At 37.8% G+C, this 18,287-nt stretch overlaps 1 protein-coding gene and 1 pseudogene across 4 annotated transcripts in view; one reads left to right on the top strand and one right to left on the bottom strand.

Moving 5' to 3' along the window:
* Positions 1 to 18,287, top strand: part of LRCH2 (leucine rich repeats and calponin homology domain containing 2) — a 123,481-nt gene that overhangs the window by 84,357 nt on the left and 20,837 nt on the right. The window contains exons 15-16 of one of the 4 annotated variants that reach the window (XM_017029696.3): positions 11,298 to 11,404; positions 13,194 to 13,877. The exons of the other annotated variants lie outside the window; for them this stretch is intronic. Of the exons in view, the coding sequence (XP_016885185.1) occupies positions 11,298 to 11,390 (93 nt within the window). The 3' untranslated portion in view covers positions 11,391 to 11,404; positions 13,194 to 13,877. Of the gene's footprint in view, positions 1 to 11,297; positions 11,405 to 13,193; positions 13,878 to 18,287 lie in introns of those variants that run through there. 4 annotated transcript variants of the gene reach the window in all.
* On the bottom strand, positions 16,246 to 16,827 carry TMSB4XP7 (TMSB4X pseudogene 7; annotated as a pseudogene).

Here is an 18,287-nt window from a genome sequence, read left to right as displayed (position 1 = left end):
ACTCTCTAGTTAAATGTAGTAAATGTGTTATTTTGATTTCTCACATATATGGGGTAATACAATCTAATTATATCCATAAGGTTTCAGTAATTGAGAATAATTGAGTAGATAAATATAAATTATGATTTACCAAATACTTTGCAAGATAGACGAATGTTTGCTGCACTGCTAGTTGTAGCAATATGTAGTATGTTTTAAAAGAATTGTCCAGGAAAAGTCTTTCATTGGATTTGTTTCAATAAATATTTGACACATATTTACAATTAGCATTTAACTGTTCCTATGTAAATAAGTGTTGTTTATATAGTTCTGAAAATGCTTGAGGGCAGATTTTTCCATTTTTTTCTTCTTGTTACCTTAGTAGATTGCTTGAGTGTCTTTTATCTTAGCTAAAAGAAAAGCTCAGATCATCCAAATTATCCCACATTTCTAGTTAGCAGGGTTTTAATGAAATTTTACTGTGTACACATTTGTAAATATTGTATTATTGTCTATTTGTGATTGGGGTCTGCTGTATTTGTAGAAGCCAATCATTAGAATTCAGAATAATATTCAATACTAGCCAGAATTCATTACTGGATTTGACTCAAATGAATAGTACAAACAAGCTTCTGCTCCATGAATAGCAAATTTTGTTGTCTTTGTACACGTTTTATGTTTCCCAAAGCCTAATTATTATTAGATGATAATAGTAATTTCATCTGAAACATAGTACTAGTCTACATTGTAGGTTCAAGTTTATATCACTAATAAATAGGATTATATTCTCTGTTTTTCTCTGGTAGAAATAGGTCTGTATGCACATTTGTTTGTTTCTATATATGGGTGTGTAACATACATTTGGAAATAGTATCATGACTAAAACAAAACTGTTATATGTCTTAGTGGATCTGTGGTAAATTTAAGCCTTCAACAAATAAATACTGAGTCCTTTTAATGAGTCTTACATTTCCTGGTCAATATAAGAGATAACAAAGAAACAGAAGACATGAGGAAAAAGGGAAGGACATTCTAAGTAGAACCCTGGTCAATAATAGTGAAAGTTTATTTATCCTAACCCTTTATACATCTGTAATTGTGTTTACATTCCAGCATTATTTTAAAGTTTCCCTTTTTAGTTCATTGGACCTTGAACAAAGCACTGAATAAAATTTGCTTGTAGATAAAACTTAGTGAATGACTGATGGTATGGGGGAAATTTTAGTAGTATTTCATATAATAAAAGAAATTTAATATTTATTTGCTCTCCTTTATTGTAGTATAACAATACAAATTCTTAGTATACTACCAATATCGTAGTATAACAAAACCAGTTCTCCTTTATCATAGTAACAATACCAATTCTGACTATTTGTCAAAAAACTTACATAGCACTTATTAAGTGCCAGGCACTGTCCTAAGACTTCACAAAGATCAACTCATTTAATCCTCATAACAACCTTATGAGGTAAGTACAATTATGACTATTTCTGTTTTACAGATGATGAAATTAAGGCACAGAGATGCAAAGTAGTATTCTTCAGTTCACTTAGTAATAAGTGGCAGAGTTGAGATTTGAACCCAAAGCCTATGCTAGGCTGCCTCTTTATCTACTGTGTATAGCTTAATATCATATCAGCAAACACTTTCAAACAAACACAGTTTTACTGGTTTTTAATTTTTTTTTTTAAGAGACAGAGTCTCTCTCTATTGCCCAGACTGCAGTGCAATAGCGTGATCATAGCACACAGCAGCCTCAAATGCCTGGGCTCAGGCCATCCTCTGGGCTCACGTGATCCTCTTGCTTCAGCCTCCCCAGTAGCTAGAACTACAGGTATGTCCCCCAGTGCCCTACAAATTTTAAAATTTTTTGTAGAGGTGAGATCTTATTATGTTGCCCAGGCTGGTCTCAAATTCCTGGCTTCAAGAGATCCTCCCATCTAGGCCCCCCCAAAGTGCTGAGATTACTGACATTTTTGGCCCACTTTTAGTGTTTAAAAAACGTTTTACAGTAACTTGAGTGGACTTCTCAAGATGTCTTAATAGAGGCCACATTTTAAAAATGTGCATTTTAAAAACTGAGCATTTTAAAAACATAATTCTTTGGTTTCATAGCATCATTTATTGGTATTTTATTTTTTATAAAATAAACATCTTCTATAATATTAGTTATGTTATAAAGTTATTAAAAGAGATCAAATGATATAATATTTGAAGTGCTCATTACATAATCATCATTCAACAAATGTTAATTTTTTTCCTTAATAAATTAGGTGCAAAGATAAGCTTCAGTCACTGGGAAATGTTTTAAGGAGATGTGTAGTTCTCCTAAATTGTCAGAAGATGTCAGTATTAGGACATAGTAAAATGAGTATGTCACTAGTTTTTTTTCCTAAGATGTCAAGAAAATATAAAACTGACATACAGTTTCCTAAATTAAATCAACACTATTATTCAGAATTGTCACTATTTTCATGACTAAAACATCAGCAGCTTCTAAGAGGAAATTTCTCTTAATCACCTATCTCCCGATAATTGAAAGTGCTATTGGTAGGTTGTATTATTAAAGCTAATCTGGATTTATAGTTCATTAAACAGTAAAATACACTACACTTGAGGTTTATATCAGATTATCACTGAGTTTGTTCAATGGTGGCTCTTTTAGGTTTTGCTATGTTACGAAATGTACAGAACTTTTGTGCAACTTTATCTTAATACGTATAAATGACTGAGGCACAGGATTTCTTTGTTTCTGTCCCATGGTAAATTATTTGTCATGGTTATTCAGTGTATTTATTGAATGTGTGTGTGTGTGTGTGTGTGTGTGTGTGTGTGTGTGTGTGTGTGTGTGTGTATGTATGTAAGAAATCCAACTGTATTTCTTCTTAGTTTTGAAGGCTAATTTTGGATAGTATTTTTTTCAGGTAAGTCCCTGAAACTAGGTAAAACTGTTTCAACATATTGGCTAGATTATGTGAGCAAGAACACAAATTGGGTCAGGTTAAGTTAGTAAGTAAATCATGGTAGGAAAGTTACATTGACTCTTTTAGATTCCCAGGCCGCTATCGTATAGATTATTATTCTAGTATATAAAATTTAGTGTTCTTATAGCCAAAATAAAATCACTGTATTTCAGGGAACTTCATGATGCCAGGAAGTATTTTATTAAACATCTTTTTTTATTTTAAATTTTTAATTTTTGGCGTTCATATTAGGTATATATATTTATGGGATACATGAGATATTTTGAAAGGCATACAATGTTCAATAATCACATTATGGGGAATGGGGTATCTATTCCTTCAAACATTTATCATTTGTGTTATGATCAAATTATACTCTTAGTTATTTTGAGATGTACAATTAAATTATTATTGACTATAGTCACCCCATTGCGCTATCAAATACTAGGTCTTATTTATTCTATTTTTTATGCCCATTATCCATCTTCACCTACCCTCTACTCCCCCACTACCCTTCTCTAGCCTCTGGTAACCATCCTTCTACTCTCTATCTTTATGAGTTCAATTGTTTTTACATCCTACAAATAAGTGAGAACATGTGGTGTTTGTCTTTCTGTGCCTGGCTTATTTCACTTACCATAATGACCTGCATTTCAATCCATGTTGCAAATGACAGACTCTCCTTCTTTATGGCTGAATAGTACTCCATTGTGTATGTGTACCACATTTTCTTTATCTGTTCTTCTATTGATGGACACTTAGGTTGCTTCCAAATCTTGGCTATTGTGAATAGTTTTGCAATAAATATGGAAGTGCAGATATCTCTTTGATATACTGATTTCCTTTCTTTGGGTTATATACCCAGCAGTAGGATTGCTGGATTGTATGGTAGCTGTATTTTTAGTTTTTTGAGGAGCCTCCAAACTGTTCTCCATATTGTTCGTACTAATTTACATTCCCACCAACAGTGTACGAGGGTTCCCTTTTCTCCACATCCTCACCAGTATGTTATTGCCTGTCTTTTGGATATAAGCCACTTTAACTGGGGTAAGATGATACATCATTGTAGTTTTGATTTGCATTTCTCTGATGATCAATGATGTTGAGCACCTTTTCGTATGCCAGTTTGCCATCTGTATGTCTTCTTTTCAGAAATGTCTATTCACATCTTTTACCCATGTTTTAATCTAACTATTAGATACTTTCCTAAAGAGTCGCTTGAGCTCCTTAAATTCTGGTTATTAATTCCTTGTCATATGGGTAGTTTGCAGATATTTCCTCCTATTCCGTGGGTTGTCTCTTCACTTTCTTGTTTCCTTTGCTGTGCAGAAGCTTTTTAACTTGATGTGATCCCATTTCTCCATGTTTGCTTTGGTTGCCTGCGCTTATGGGGTAGCTCAGGAAATTTTTGCCCAGACCTGTGTCCTGGAGATTTTCCCCCATGTTTTCTTATAGCAGTTTTATAGATTGAAGTCTTAGATTTAAGTCCTTAATCCATTTTGATTTGATTTTTGTGTACAACAAGAGATAGGGGCCTAGTTTCATTCTTCTGCATACGGATATCCAGTTTTCCCAGCCTCATTTACTGAAGAGACTGTCTTTTCCCCCGTGTATGTTCTTGGCAGCTTTGTTGAAATTGAGTTCACTGTAGGTGTGTGAAGTTGTTTCTGGGTTCTCTGTTCTGTTCCATTGGTCTGTGTGTCTGTTTTTATGCAAGTACCATGATGTTTTGGTTACCATAGGTCTGTAGTATAATTTGAAGTCATGTAATGTGATTCCTCCAGTTTTGTTCCTTATTCCCAGGATAGCTTTGGCCATTCTTGGTCTTTTGTGGTTTCATCTAAATCTTAGGCTTGATTTTTCTATTTCTGTGATGAATGCCATTGGTATTTTGATAGGGATTGCATTGAATCTATAGATTGCTCTGAGTAGTATGGACATTTTAACAATATTGTTTCTTCCAATCCATGAATGTGGAATATCTTTCCATATTTGTGTGTCCTCTTCAATTTCTTCCAGCAGTATTTTATAGTTTTCATTGTAGAGATCTTTTACTTCTTTGGTTAATTTCTAGGTGTTTAATTTTGTTTGTGAGTATTGTAAATGGGATTATTTTTAAAATTTCTTTTTTAGATTGTTCACTGTTGGCATATAGAAATCCTACTGACTTTTGTATGTTGATTTTGTATCCTGCAACTTTACAGAATTTATCAGTTCTATTTTTTTTTTTTTGGTGGAGTCTAGGTTTTTCCAAATACAAGATTATATCATCTGCAGACAAGGATAATTTGACTTCTTCTTTTCCAATTTGGATGCCCTTTATTTCTTTCTCTTGTCTGATTGCTCTAGGTGGGACTCCTAGTATTGTGTTGAATAACAGTGGTGACAATGTGCATCCCTGTCATCTTTTAGATCTTAGGGGAAAGGCTATGAGTTTTGGCTTTTATTATGTTGAGATATATTTCTTCTATACCCCAGTTTTTGAGAGTGTATTAGTCTATTTTTATGCTGCTGATAAAGACATACCTGAGACTGGTCAATTTACAAAAGAAAGAGGTTTATTGGACTGACAGTTCCACATGGCTGAGGAGGCCTCACAATCATGGTGGAAGGTGAAAGGCACGTCTTACATGGTGGCAGACAAGAGAAGAGAGCTTGTGCAGGGAAACTCCTGTTTTTCAAATCATCAGGTCTCATGAGACTTATTCACTATCATGAGAACAACACGGGAAAAACCTGCCCCCATGATTTAGTTACCTCCCACTGGTATCTCCCATGACACTTGTGAATCGTGTGAGTTACAATTCAAGATGAGGTTTTGGTGGGGACACAAGCAAACCATATCAGAGGGTTTTTATCATGAAGGAATGTTGGATTTTAGCAAATGCTTGTCCGGCATCAATTGGAATGGTCATATGATTTTTGTCCTTTATTCTGTTGTTATGATGTATCACAACAATTGATTTGCATATGTTGAACCATGCTTGCATCCCTGGAATAAATCCCACTTGGTCATGATGAATGACCTTTTAAATATATTGTTGAATTCGGTTTGCTAGTATTCTATTGAAGATTTTTGCATCCATATTTATCCGAGATTTTGGCCTGTAGTTTTCTATTTTGGATGTGTCTTTGTCTGGTTTTAGTATTAGGCTAATACTGGCCTTGTAGAATCAGTTTGCCAGTATTCCCTCCTCTTCAATTTTTTGAATACTTTGAGTAGGATTGGTATTAGGTTTTCTTTAAGTTTTTGGTAGAATTCAGCAGTGAAGCCCTCAGGTCCCAGGCATTTCTTTCCTGGGAGACTATTTATTACAGATTTGATCTCATTACTTGTTATTGGCCTGTTCACATTTTGGATTTCTTCATGATCCAATTTTGGTAGGTTTTATGTGTCTAGGAATTTGTCCATCTCCTCTAGAGTTTCCAATTTATCGGCACATAGTTGTTCATAGTAGCTAGTAGTGGCCCTTCGAATTTCTGTGGTATCAGTTGTAATGTCTCCTTTTTCATCTCTGATTTTATTTGGGTCTTCTCCCCTTTTTATCTTAATCTGACTAAAGGTTTGTCAATTTTGTTTATCTTCTCAGTAAACCATATTTTTGTTTCATTGATCTTTTTTATTTTTCTTCATTTCAAATTTATTTATTTCTGCTCTGATCTTTATTATTTCTTTTGTTTTTGTTTGTTTGTTTGTTTGTTTAAACCAGAGTCTCACTCTTTCTCCCAGGCTGAGGTGCAGTGGTGTCATGGCTCACTGCAGCCTTGACCTCCCAGGGTCAAGCCATCCTTTCACCTTTCAGCCTTCCAAGTAGCTGGGACTACAGGCACCACCACACCCAGCTAATTTTTGTATTTTTTGTAGAGATGGGGTTTTGCCATGTTGCCCAGGCTGGTCTTGAGCTCCTTGGCTCAAGCGATCTGCCCACCTCACGCTCCCAAAGTGTTGGGATTACAGGTGTGAGCCATGACACCTGGGCTGTTTCTTTTCTTATACTAACTTTGGATTTGGTTTGCTCTTCCTTTTCTGGTTCTTTAAGATGAATCATTATGTTATTTGTTTGAGGTTTTTCTTCTCTTTTGATGTAAGCACTTATAGCTGGAAATTTTCCTGTTAATACTGTTTTTGCTGTATCCCATAGGTTTTGCTATGTTGTATTTGTATTATCATTTGTTTCAAGAAATTTTTCGATTTCCTTCTTAATTTCTTCATTGACCCACTGGTCATTCAGGAGCATATTGTTTAATTTCCATTTGTTTGTATAGTTTTAAAAATTCTTCTTCTTATTGATTTCTGGTTTTATTTCATTGTGGTCAGAGAAGTTGCTTCATGTTATCTCAGCAACTTCTTTGTTGTTTGACTGTTTTAAGACTTATTTTGTGACCTAACATATGGTCTATCCTTGAGAATGATCCATGTGCTGAGGAGAAGAACATATATTCTGTAGCCACTGGATGAAATGTTCAGTAAATATCTGTTGGGTCCATTTGGTCTATAGTGCAGATTAAGTCCAATTGTTCTTTGATGATTTTCTGTCTGGGAGATCTGTCCAGTGCTGAAAGTGGGGTGTTGAAGTCTCCAGCTATTACTGTATTGAGATCTATCTCTCTTGAGCTCCAATAATATTTGCTTTATATATCTGAGTGCCCCAGTATTGGGTGCATATATACTTACAAATCACTATATCCTCTGACTAAGTTTACCCCTTTTTCATTATATAATGACCTTCTTTGTCTCTTGTTCATTTTTATCTTGAAATCCATTTTGTCTGATATAAGTATAGCTACACCTGCTCTTTTTTGGTTTCCATTGGCATGGAATATCTTTCTTCATCCCTTTATTCTCAGTCTATGTGTATCTTCGTAAGTGAACTGTGTTTCTTTTTTTTTCTTTTTTCTTTTTCTTTCTTTCTTTTTTTTTTTTTTGGTGGAGTCTTCCTCTGTCACCCAGGCTGGAGTGAAATGGCATGATCTCGGCTCACTGCAGCCTCTGTCTCTTGGGTTCAAGCAATTTTCCTGCCTCAGCCTCCTGAGTAGCTGGGACTACAGGCATGTACCACCATGCCCAGCTAATTTTTTATTTTTTGTATTTTTAGTAGAGATGGGGTTTCACCATGTTGGCCAGGCTGGTCTTGAACTCCTGACCTCAAGTGATCCACCCCCCTCGGCCTCACCCCAACATTGCTAAGCTAAAGGGAAAGGTCAAGCTGGGAACTGCTTAGGGGAAACCTGCCTCCAATTCTATTCAAAGTCACCACTCTGCTCACTGAGATAAATGCATATCTGATTGCCTCCTTTGGAGAGGCTAATCAGAAACTTAAGAGAATGCAGCCATTTGTCTCTTACCTACCTATGACCTGGAAGTCCCCTGGCCGCTTCCAGTTTTCCTGCCTTTCTGGACTGAAATATTGTTTGTCTTACATATGTTGATTGATGTCTTGTGTCTCCCTAAAATGTTTAAAACCAAAGCTGTGCTCTGACCACCTTGGGCACAGGTCATCAGGACTGCCTGAGGCTGTGACACAGGCACTATCCTCAACCTTGGCAAAATAAGCTTTCTTTTTTTTTTTTTGAGACAGAGTCTTGCTCTGTCACCCAGTGGCGTGATCTCGGCTCACTGCAAGCTCCATCCCCAAGGTTCACGCCATTCTCCCGCCTCAGCCTCCAGAGTAGCTGGGACTACAGGCACCCGCCACTATGCCTGGCTAATTTTTTTTTTTTGTATTTTTAGTAGAGACGGGGTTTCACCGTGTTAGCCAGGATGGTCTCGATCTCCTGACCTCGTGATCCACCCCTCTCGGCCTCCCAAAGTGCTGGAATTACAGGCATGAGCTACCACGCCTGGCCTCAAGTGTGTTTCTTGTAGGTAGCAGGTCATTGTGTCTTATTTTTTCATCTATTCAGCCATTCTATGTCTTTTTATTTTAATAGTTTAGTTCATTTACATTTAGTGTTATTATTGATGTTTTATTCTACTGCGGCCAAGATGGCACTCACACCACAATACAAAGTCCTTGCCACTCTTCTTTCCCCTTTCCACAGGTAGAGGAACCTCTCTCAGTGGCCACCACCACCACTGGCCCATGGGAGGTTCTGCTAGCCCGCTGCTCATGTTCTGTTAAAGCCCAAGGGCTCTTCAATCAGCTTGTGGTGAATGCTGCCAGTCCTGGGACTCACCCTGAATTCTGGCTTGGGGCAGGTCCAGAAATGCTGCCCAAGAGCCGAGGCCTAGATTCCTGAACTCCAAGAGACTGCTTGTTGCTTACCTCACTGTGTCTGAGTGGGTTCCTAAGGTGCCAAATTCCCCTTTGTTTTTCCCTCTGCTTTTCTCAAACAGGAGACTCTCCATGTAGCCACGACATCTGGTTTTGTGCTAAGTCTTACCGGACGCCAGCACATCTCAGTCTCTCCCAAGGTCCACAGCATACTACCTGGGTATTTCTGCTGGTTATTCAGGGCCCAAGGGCTCTTTCATCAGCTGGTGATGACTCCTGGCAGGACTGGGTCCTTCCCTTCAAGGCAGTGGGTTCCCTTTTTGCCCAGGGGTATATGTCTAGTAATGTCATCCAGGAGCTGGGGCCTGGAATGGGGGTCTCACAACTCTGGCCAGTGCCCCATCCTACTGTGGCTGAGCTGGTATCCAAGAGGTAAGACAAAGTCCTCCTCAGTCTTCCCTGTCCTGTCCTCAAGTGAAAGGAAGGGGTCTCTTTCTCATTGCTGCGAGCTGCACTGTCTGGGGTTGGGGGAGGAGTGGTGCAAGCACTCCCTTAGCCACCCCTGCTGGTGTCTCCCTAAGTCACATGCCACCCTAGTACACTGGTTCTAAGCTTAGCACAGCACTAGGAGTTGCCTAGAAATTGCAATCCTTGTGCCCTAGACTGCCTTTCAAGTTTACCTAGAACCCCAGAGTACTTTGGCCTGCGATTGGTGAGGTTACTGAGAAACTTAAGTTCAAGCTGCTGGCATGAGCGATTCCCATCTGGTTAGGGCTGATCCAAATGCTCCCGCCATGCCTGGGTGCTTGTTGAGCACAGCACAACTTTGTTCCCCTCTGTGGCAGGGCAGCACTAAGTTCAATGTAAAGCCCCCCAGTCCCTGTGCTCTCCCTCCCCCAAGTATACAGGCTTTCTCTCCCTGCACTGCTGGCTACTGTGGGTAGCTGGCTAATTTTTGTATTTTTAGTAGAGACCGTGTTTCACCATATTGTCTAGGCTGGTCTCAAACTCCTGACCTCGTGATCTGCCTGCCCAGGCCTCCCAAAGTGTTGAGATTACAGGCATGAGCCACCGTGCCCGGCCACAGGTGAATTTCTAAATGCATTTAATAATTGATTTCTAGACAAAACAGTTAAAAAGTATTAGAGTATCTGTAGCCAGTTAGTTTTAAATATTATTTGATTTATTTAAGTGGCATATATGTCTTCAAATGTATCTCATTACTATTATGATAAAACATAATAACTCATAAAATACATATTGATTTCATAAATATAGTACACTATTTTTATTTAAAGGTTAACCCCCTGGAAAATATTTTGACACATTTTCTATGATCATTGTTCGTTTTATATGGGAGTAAAGAAGCCACTGGGATTGTAAAATAACCTGATTTATTCTGAGTCAGAGTTTATGCACAAGTTATTGTCTCTCTTTTGAAATTATTACAAGCTTCTGAGGCTAGTCCGAATTCAATGGTGTTTACAACGAATTGCTCACAATTACACATTTGTTTATTTTCCACTCCTGCTGCTTCACTTGACTAGCCTCAAAAAATATGTATATGTATATGTATATGTACATAAAAGCTTCTGAGATGGACTGACCTTTCTGTTTTTCTGGTTTTTAAACTAGGCCTTTATTGTAACATTTGAATTTAGATGTAATAAAACTTCAGTAATTCAGAATTCAGATTAATACTAGTTGGGGATAGCCGAGTTGAATTAGTAAAAACTTGGAATTAGAGAGTATTTTCAAATCTATGTATATATTAGGTTTGGAGTTTCAAGACATTTAAATATGTGCAGTAATGCAAACTTAGCATCTTTCTAAGTTTTCATGTATAATGAGTATTTTAAATTAGAATTATAGTTGAGTAACAGTAATACATTTCCCATTTTCTAAGTTCTTAAGTATATCATCTTGTATTTCTTTGCATTTCAGTTATCCTCTTATTCTTCTATGTCTTTCCTGCCTCTTTACCTTTCACCTTATAAATATGCTCAAACCTCTGTTATAGGGAAGAAAAAGTAGTATCTTTTCCCTACTCGTTGCAAGAATGATAGCTGACACCCCATAACAAAAGATGGATTAACAAGAGAAAAGCATAAAAATTTACTCAAGTTTTTATGTGACACAGGATCCTTCAGAAATGAAGACCCAAAGACCCAGGGAAAACCGTATGTTCATGCTAAGTCTGATGAAAGAAATGAATAGTTGTGGAGACACGTGATTGAACAAAAAAGGGTATGATCTAATGGTAACAAACTGGGCCTGTTTGTTGAGAATCTTTTCTGTGTCTCTCTATGACATTCCTTCTCCTTCGGTATGCTGCAGGAAACCTGTCACATGCATCTTAAAGGGAGAAGGGAGGAGGTCAGAGAGTGACCTTTCTAGATTGTATGGCTTGCTTTGTGAGACGGGGAATTCTAGTTTCTATTACCTGCCTTAGGGAGAGGAAGGGGGGCGAAGAAAGGGGGGCCTGGAGAAGGTCAGAGAGTGACCTTGAAGGTGCCATATCTTGGGGTAGTATTTTCTGAGCCCTGACACTACCATTATCCCTGACTGCCCTTTTAGCTGTTGCCTTATCTCTTTGCTCTCTTTTAGGGCTAAACTTTCTTTTTTTTTTCTCTTGAGACGGAGCCTCGCTGTGTCACCCAGGCTGGGGTGCAATGGCGTGATCTCAGCTCACTGCAACCTCTGCCTGCCGGGTTCAAGTGATTCTCCTGCCTCAGCCTCCCGAGTAGCTGGGATTATAGGCACCCTCCACCACACCCGGCTGATTTTTGTATTTTTAGTAGAGAAGGGGTTTCACTTTGTTGGCTAGGCTGGTCTTGAACTCCTGACCATGGCCAGGGCCAAACTTTCTATTTCTAGTTCTCCAGTTTCTGATCATTCCTTAACCCACTGCAATCTGGCGTTCGCTTCCATTTCTCCATTGAAATAGCCCCTCGCTAGATTTTAACATGCACCTACTAATGGCAAAATCCAGTGTAGCATTTGACAATGATGACCACATCTTCCTTCTTGATACTCCTGTCTTGGTTTCTATCTCATTTTTCTTCCCTGTTATCATTTTGATGTCCTTCTCTAACTTTTCTTCTGCTTGCTCTTAGGGTCTGATCCTCATTTTATTACTCTAAAAAGCTCTCTCTGGAGTGTTAATGACTCTAGATGTTTCTTATATTCTGCTGTGTCTAAATTTACATCCTATAACTTTTTTTCTGTTCCCTAAATCTGTGTTTCTAATTGTTTGGATGCCCTCATTCCCATCACCTAATTGGTTATCAGCCCTAATATATGCATCGTTTCTGCAATTCATGTCTATCTCTATTGCCCTTGCCCTTTTTGGAACCCTCATACTTTCTTGCCCAGGCAATTGTGATAACTGATTAATGGTCCTCCTTTCTCAGCCGTTGGATAATTCTCTGGCTTTAAATTTCTTTATTCTAGTGTTCAGTAGCACCATAGGTTGACTATAGTTAATAATAATTTATTATATATTTTAAAATAGCTAGAAGAAAAGATTGATAATGTTCCCAGCACAAAGAAATGATAAATGTCTTTGAGGTGATTACCCTGATTTGATGATTACACATTGTATGCATGTATCACAATATCACAAGTACCTGATAAATATGTACAATTATGTATCAATAAAAAATAATTATCAGACAATGTGAGAAAATGCCCTTAAATAAAACTGTAAATCTGTAAATTTTCTCTTAAATCTGTAAAACTGTAAATCATCCAAAAAACTTCTTACTGGCTTCCCATTACCAATAAGATAAAGTTTGGATTTGTTAAAATCTTCGTGGACCATTCCTTCTTTCCTTTTCTATATTTCATTACCTGCCAAAATTCACTTTCCTCACTAGCCTCATTAAACTGCTCTTTGTTTTCTACACAGGCTGTGCTTTCTTAGTTCTTTTTGCTTTTCTTCTTCTGAGAATGCCCATTAGCCCTTTTATCTCTGGCAAATTCCTATTAATTAGTGTTTAGAAATGGGAGTATAGTTGTCCCTCTGTATCTGCAGGTTCCACATGCATTCAGCCAACCTTGATTGAAAATATGTGGGGAAAAAAGGCAAAAAAAAAAGGTAAAAATAATACAAATAAAAAATATAGTGTAACAACTGTTTAGATATCATTTACATTGTATTCAGTATTATAAGTAATCTGGAGATGATTTAAACTATACAGGAAGATGTGAGTAGCTTATATGCAAATACTGTGCCATTTTATGTAAGGGAAGGGACTTGAATATCTGTGAATTTTGGCATGGGTGAGGCGGGGGTAGGGGTCTTGGAACCAATCCCTTGCAGATATCAAGAGATGATTTTATGGCACAGTGCCTGGGCTTATAGAATCAAACCACTTGTGTTCCAGTCCTTACTTGGATACCTATTAACTATGTGACTTTGTCAAGTCATGTAACCTTAATTAAGTTTGTTTTTTAAAACTTTATAAATGAGTGTAACAGTACAGGCATACTTAAGAGATATTGTGGGTTTGATTCCAGACAATGCCATTAAAGCAAATATCTATTCAATAAAGCAAGTCACATGAATATATATCAATAAAGCAAGTCACATGAATATTTTTTGGTTTCCCAGTGCATAAAAGTTATGTTTACATTGTTCTATAATCTAAGTGTGTAATAGTATTATGTATGAAAAAATGATATACCTTAATTAAAAATACTTTATTGCTAAAAATTACTCACAATTATCTGAGCCTTCAGTGAGTCATAATCTTTTTACTGGTGGGGGGTCTTGTGTAGATGTTGATGGTGGTTGCTGAAAATTGGGTGAATATGGCAATTTCTAGTTTGCCACATCAATGGACTTTCCTTTCACAACAGATTTCTCTGTAGCATGCGATGCTGTTAGATAGCATTTTACGTACGGTAGAACTTCTTTCAGAATTGGAGTCAATCCTCTAAAACCCTGCCACTGCTTTATCAAATAAGGGTATGTCACATTGTAAATCATTTGTTGTCATTTCAACAGTGTTCACAGCTTCTTCACCAGGAGTAAATTCTACCTTAAAAATCCCTACCTTTTTTGCACATCCATTAAAAGCAACTCCTTATTTGTTAAAGTTTTATCATGAGATTACAGTAATTGAGTCACAACTTTAAGCTCTACTTCTAGGCCAGGCGTGGCAGCTCATGCCTGTAATCCTAGCACTTTGGGAGGCTGAGGTAGGTGGATCCCTTGAGCTCAGGAGTTTGAGACCAGCTTGGGCCAATGGCAAAACCCCGTCTCTACAAAAAATACAAAAAAATTAGCTGGTCACGGTGGCACATGCCTGTAGTCCCCTCTACTTGGTCGGGGGTGGCTGAGGCCAGAGGATTCTTAGAGCCCAGGAGGTCAAGGCTGCAGTGAGCCAAGATCACGACACTGCACTCCAGCCAGGTGACAAAGTGAGACCCTGTCTCAAAAAAAAAAAAAAAAAAGAAAGAAAAGAAAAGGAAATAAAAACTCTACTTTTAGTTCTCCTGCTGTTTCCACCACATCTACAGTTATTTCCTCCACTGATGTCTTGAGCCCTTCAAAATCGTCCATGACGATCAGAATGAATTTCTTCCAAACTCTCGTTAATGTTGACATTTTGACCTCCTCTCATGAATTATAAATGTTCTTAATGGCATCTAGAATGATGAATCATTTGCAGAGGTTTTCAATTTGCTTTGCCCAGGCCCATCAGAAGAATCACTATCTATGGCCCCAATAGCTTTATGATATGTTATTACTTAGTAAGACTTGAAAGTTGATATTACTCCTTGATCCATGCACTGCAGAATGGATGTTGTGCATGAAAACATTGATGTCTTTGAACGTCTTCATCAGAACTCTTGGTTGACTAGACTCATTGTAAATGAGCAGTAATATTATGAAAGGAATCTTTTTTTCTGAGCTCGATAGTGGGCTTAACATATTCAGTAAAGCATGCTGTAAACAGATGTGCTGTCATCCAGGCTTTGCAGGTCTATTTATAAAGCACAGGCAGAATAGATTTAGCATAATTCTTAAGGGACCTAGGAGTTTTGGAATCGTTAAATAAACATTGGCTTCAATTTAGAGTCAGCAGCTGCATTAGCCCCTAACAAGAGTCAGCCTGTTCTTTGAAGCTTTGAAGCAGGCATTGACTTCTCTCTATCTACAGCAGTCCAATAGAAGGCTATTTTGTCTACATAGAAAATTTGTTGTTTAGCGTAGTCACCTTCATCAATTGTCTTAGCTAGCTAGATCTTCTCTATAACTTGCTTCAGCTTCTACATCAGCACTTGCTACTTCGCCTTGCACTTTTGTTACGCAGTCAGCTTCTTTCCTTCAATCTTATGAACCAACCAACCTCTACAGCTTCCAGCTTTTCTTCTGCAGCTTCCTCACCTTGACTTCATAGGATTGAAGAGAGGGCCTTGCTCTGGACTAGGCTTTGTCTTAAGGGAATGTTGTGGTTGGTTTGCTATTCTATCCAGACCACTCAAACTTTGTCCATATCAGCAATAAGGCTGTTTCACTTTCTTATTTTTGGTGTGTTCACTGGAATGAGTAGCACTTTTACTTTTCTTCAACACTTATTTTGCATTCACAGCTTGGTTAATTGGAGCAAGAGGCCTAGCTTCACCCTATCTCTGCTTTCTACATGTCTTCCTCACTAAGCTTAATCATTTCAAGCTTTTTATTTAAAGGGAAAGACATACTATTTCTTTTCACTTGAACACTTAAAGAGGCCATTGTGGGATTATTAGTTGGCCTAATTACAATATTATTGTGTGTCAGGGAATAGGAGATAGGGAACAACTGGTTAGTGGAGCAGTCAGAACACATGCAACATTGATCGATTAAGTTCGCTTTCTTATATGGGCGTCGTTTGAGTCACCCCTCAAAAATTACAATAGTAACATCAAAGATCAATATCACAGATCACCATAACAGACATGATAATAATGAAAAAGTTTGAAATATTGTGAGAATTCTCAAAATTTGACGGACATGAAGTGAGTACGTGCTATTGGAAAAATGACACCAATAGACTTGCTTGATACAGGGTTGCCACAAACTTTTTCTGCACATTTTGAAACTTTGTATTTGCACATTTAAAAAATTGTGTATCCCGATAAATAAAATCACTGGAACAAAAAAACTGATACTCTGATTAAACTGAATTTTATAGCTTGCAGGACACCTTGGGCCAGCTTGGTTTTACTCTAGCTTTCACTGTCATTCCACCCTGCTTCTTCCTTCACCAACATTCAAATTCTTTTCCTTATCTGCCAGCCAGGCAGATCGGAGAGGCAAGAGCGGTCTTCATTTTCAGTAGCTCTTGATTCTTTGATGTGAGAGGAGCAGCACAGTCGTTTAAACTTGATCCAACCTCTTTGCATCTTGCAAAGTCAATCAGCCAAAAGAAGTAAAATATGAAGGCAATGCTTGTGCAATGTACAGTTCGTTTTCATGATGTATACCTCATTATGATTTGTCTGCTTGCTTCTCCTGTTTGGTCATTTCTTTGGAAGGCAGTGGATTTTTTTCTTGTGTTTTTTGTCTTCTTCAATTTTGACTTACCAAATTTCTCAATCCCAGCCATATCGGGTTTGTTGGATGTGGTTGCCAAGGAAGTGGAGTAAGGCGTTTGAGCAAGCAGAATCTGGTCTGCTCATAACTATTAAATTATTTAATAATAAAAGTACTTAGAATTACACTTGCCACAGAGTAACCACTTAGTAAATATTAGCATATTCACTCAAGTATCACTGTTTCATTGACATAGATTAAAACCAAAAATAAGTGACTTCAGTGATTGTCTTGCCTGATAAATAGGATTTTTTCACACGTGCCAATTTCATTCAGTGGCTCTCTGGCACACTGGGTTGAAGGCATATTGAGATTCTGTGTGAGATCACCTGGAAAGAACATGCTGCTAGATTAGTGATAGTTGCCATAGGAGAGACAGTGGAGGAAGAATACGTTTTGTATTTATTATCCCTAATATAGCTCACTTCCCAGTTTTTGGCTGAGATATCAGGTTGGTTATCTATTTTTCCAAGGGTTGTGGTTGAGATATCAGGTTGGTTATCTATTTTTCCAAGGGTTATGGAAGATAATGCTGCGTATGTAAAGGGGACCATTAAATAGACCAATGGAACAGAACAGAGCCCTCAGAAATAATACCACACATCGACAACCATCTGATCTTTGACAAACCTGACAAAAACAAGAAATGGGGAAAGGATTCCCTATTTAATAAATGGTGCTGGGAAAACTAGCTAGCCATATGTAGAAAGCTGAAACTGGATCTCTTCCTTACACCTTATACAAAAATTAATTCAAGATGGACTAAAGACTTAAATGTTAGACCTAAAACTGTAAAAACCCTAGAAGAAAACCTAGGCAGTACCTTTCAGGACATAGGCATGGGCAAGGACTTCATGACTAAAACACCAAAAGCAATGGCAACGAAAGCCAAAATTGACAAATGGGATCTAATTAAAGAGCTTCTGCACAGCCAAAAAAACTACCGTCAGAGTGAACAGGCTACCTACAGAATGGGAGAAAATTTTTACAATCTACCCACCTGACAGAGGGCTAATATCCAGAATCTACAAAGAACTCAGACAAATTTACAAGCAAAAATCAAACAACCCCATCAAATAGTGGGCAAAGCAGATGAACAGACACTTCTCAAAACAGACACATGAAAAAATGCTCATCATCACTAGCCATCAGAGAAATGCAAATCAAAGCCACAATGAGATACCATCTCACACCAGTTAGAATGGCGATCATTAAAAAGTCAGGAAACAACAGGTGCTGGAGAGGATGTGGAGAAATAGGAACACTTTTACACTGTTGGTGGGACTGTAAACTAGTTCAACCGTTGTGGAAGACAGTGTGGCGATTCCTCGAGGTTCTAGAACTAGAAATACCATTTGACCCAGCCATCCCATTACTGGGTATATACCCAAAGGATTATAAATCATGCTGCTATAAAGACACATGTACACATATGTTTATTGCAGCACTATTCACAATAGCAAAGACTTGGAACCAACCCAAATGCCCAACAATGATAGACTGGATTAAGAAAATGTGGCACATATATTCCATGGAATACTCTGC

The sequence above is a fragment of the Homo sapiens genome, chromosome X (assembly GCF_000001405.40).
Source record: "Homo sapiens chromosome X, GRCh38.p14 Primary Assembly".
Taxonomy (NCBI): Eukaryota; Metazoa; Chordata; class Mammalia; order Primates; family Hominidae; genus Homo; species Homo sapiens.
Note: the sequence above shows the minus strand (reverse complement) of the source record. Positions and strands in the feature narration are given on the sequence as shown.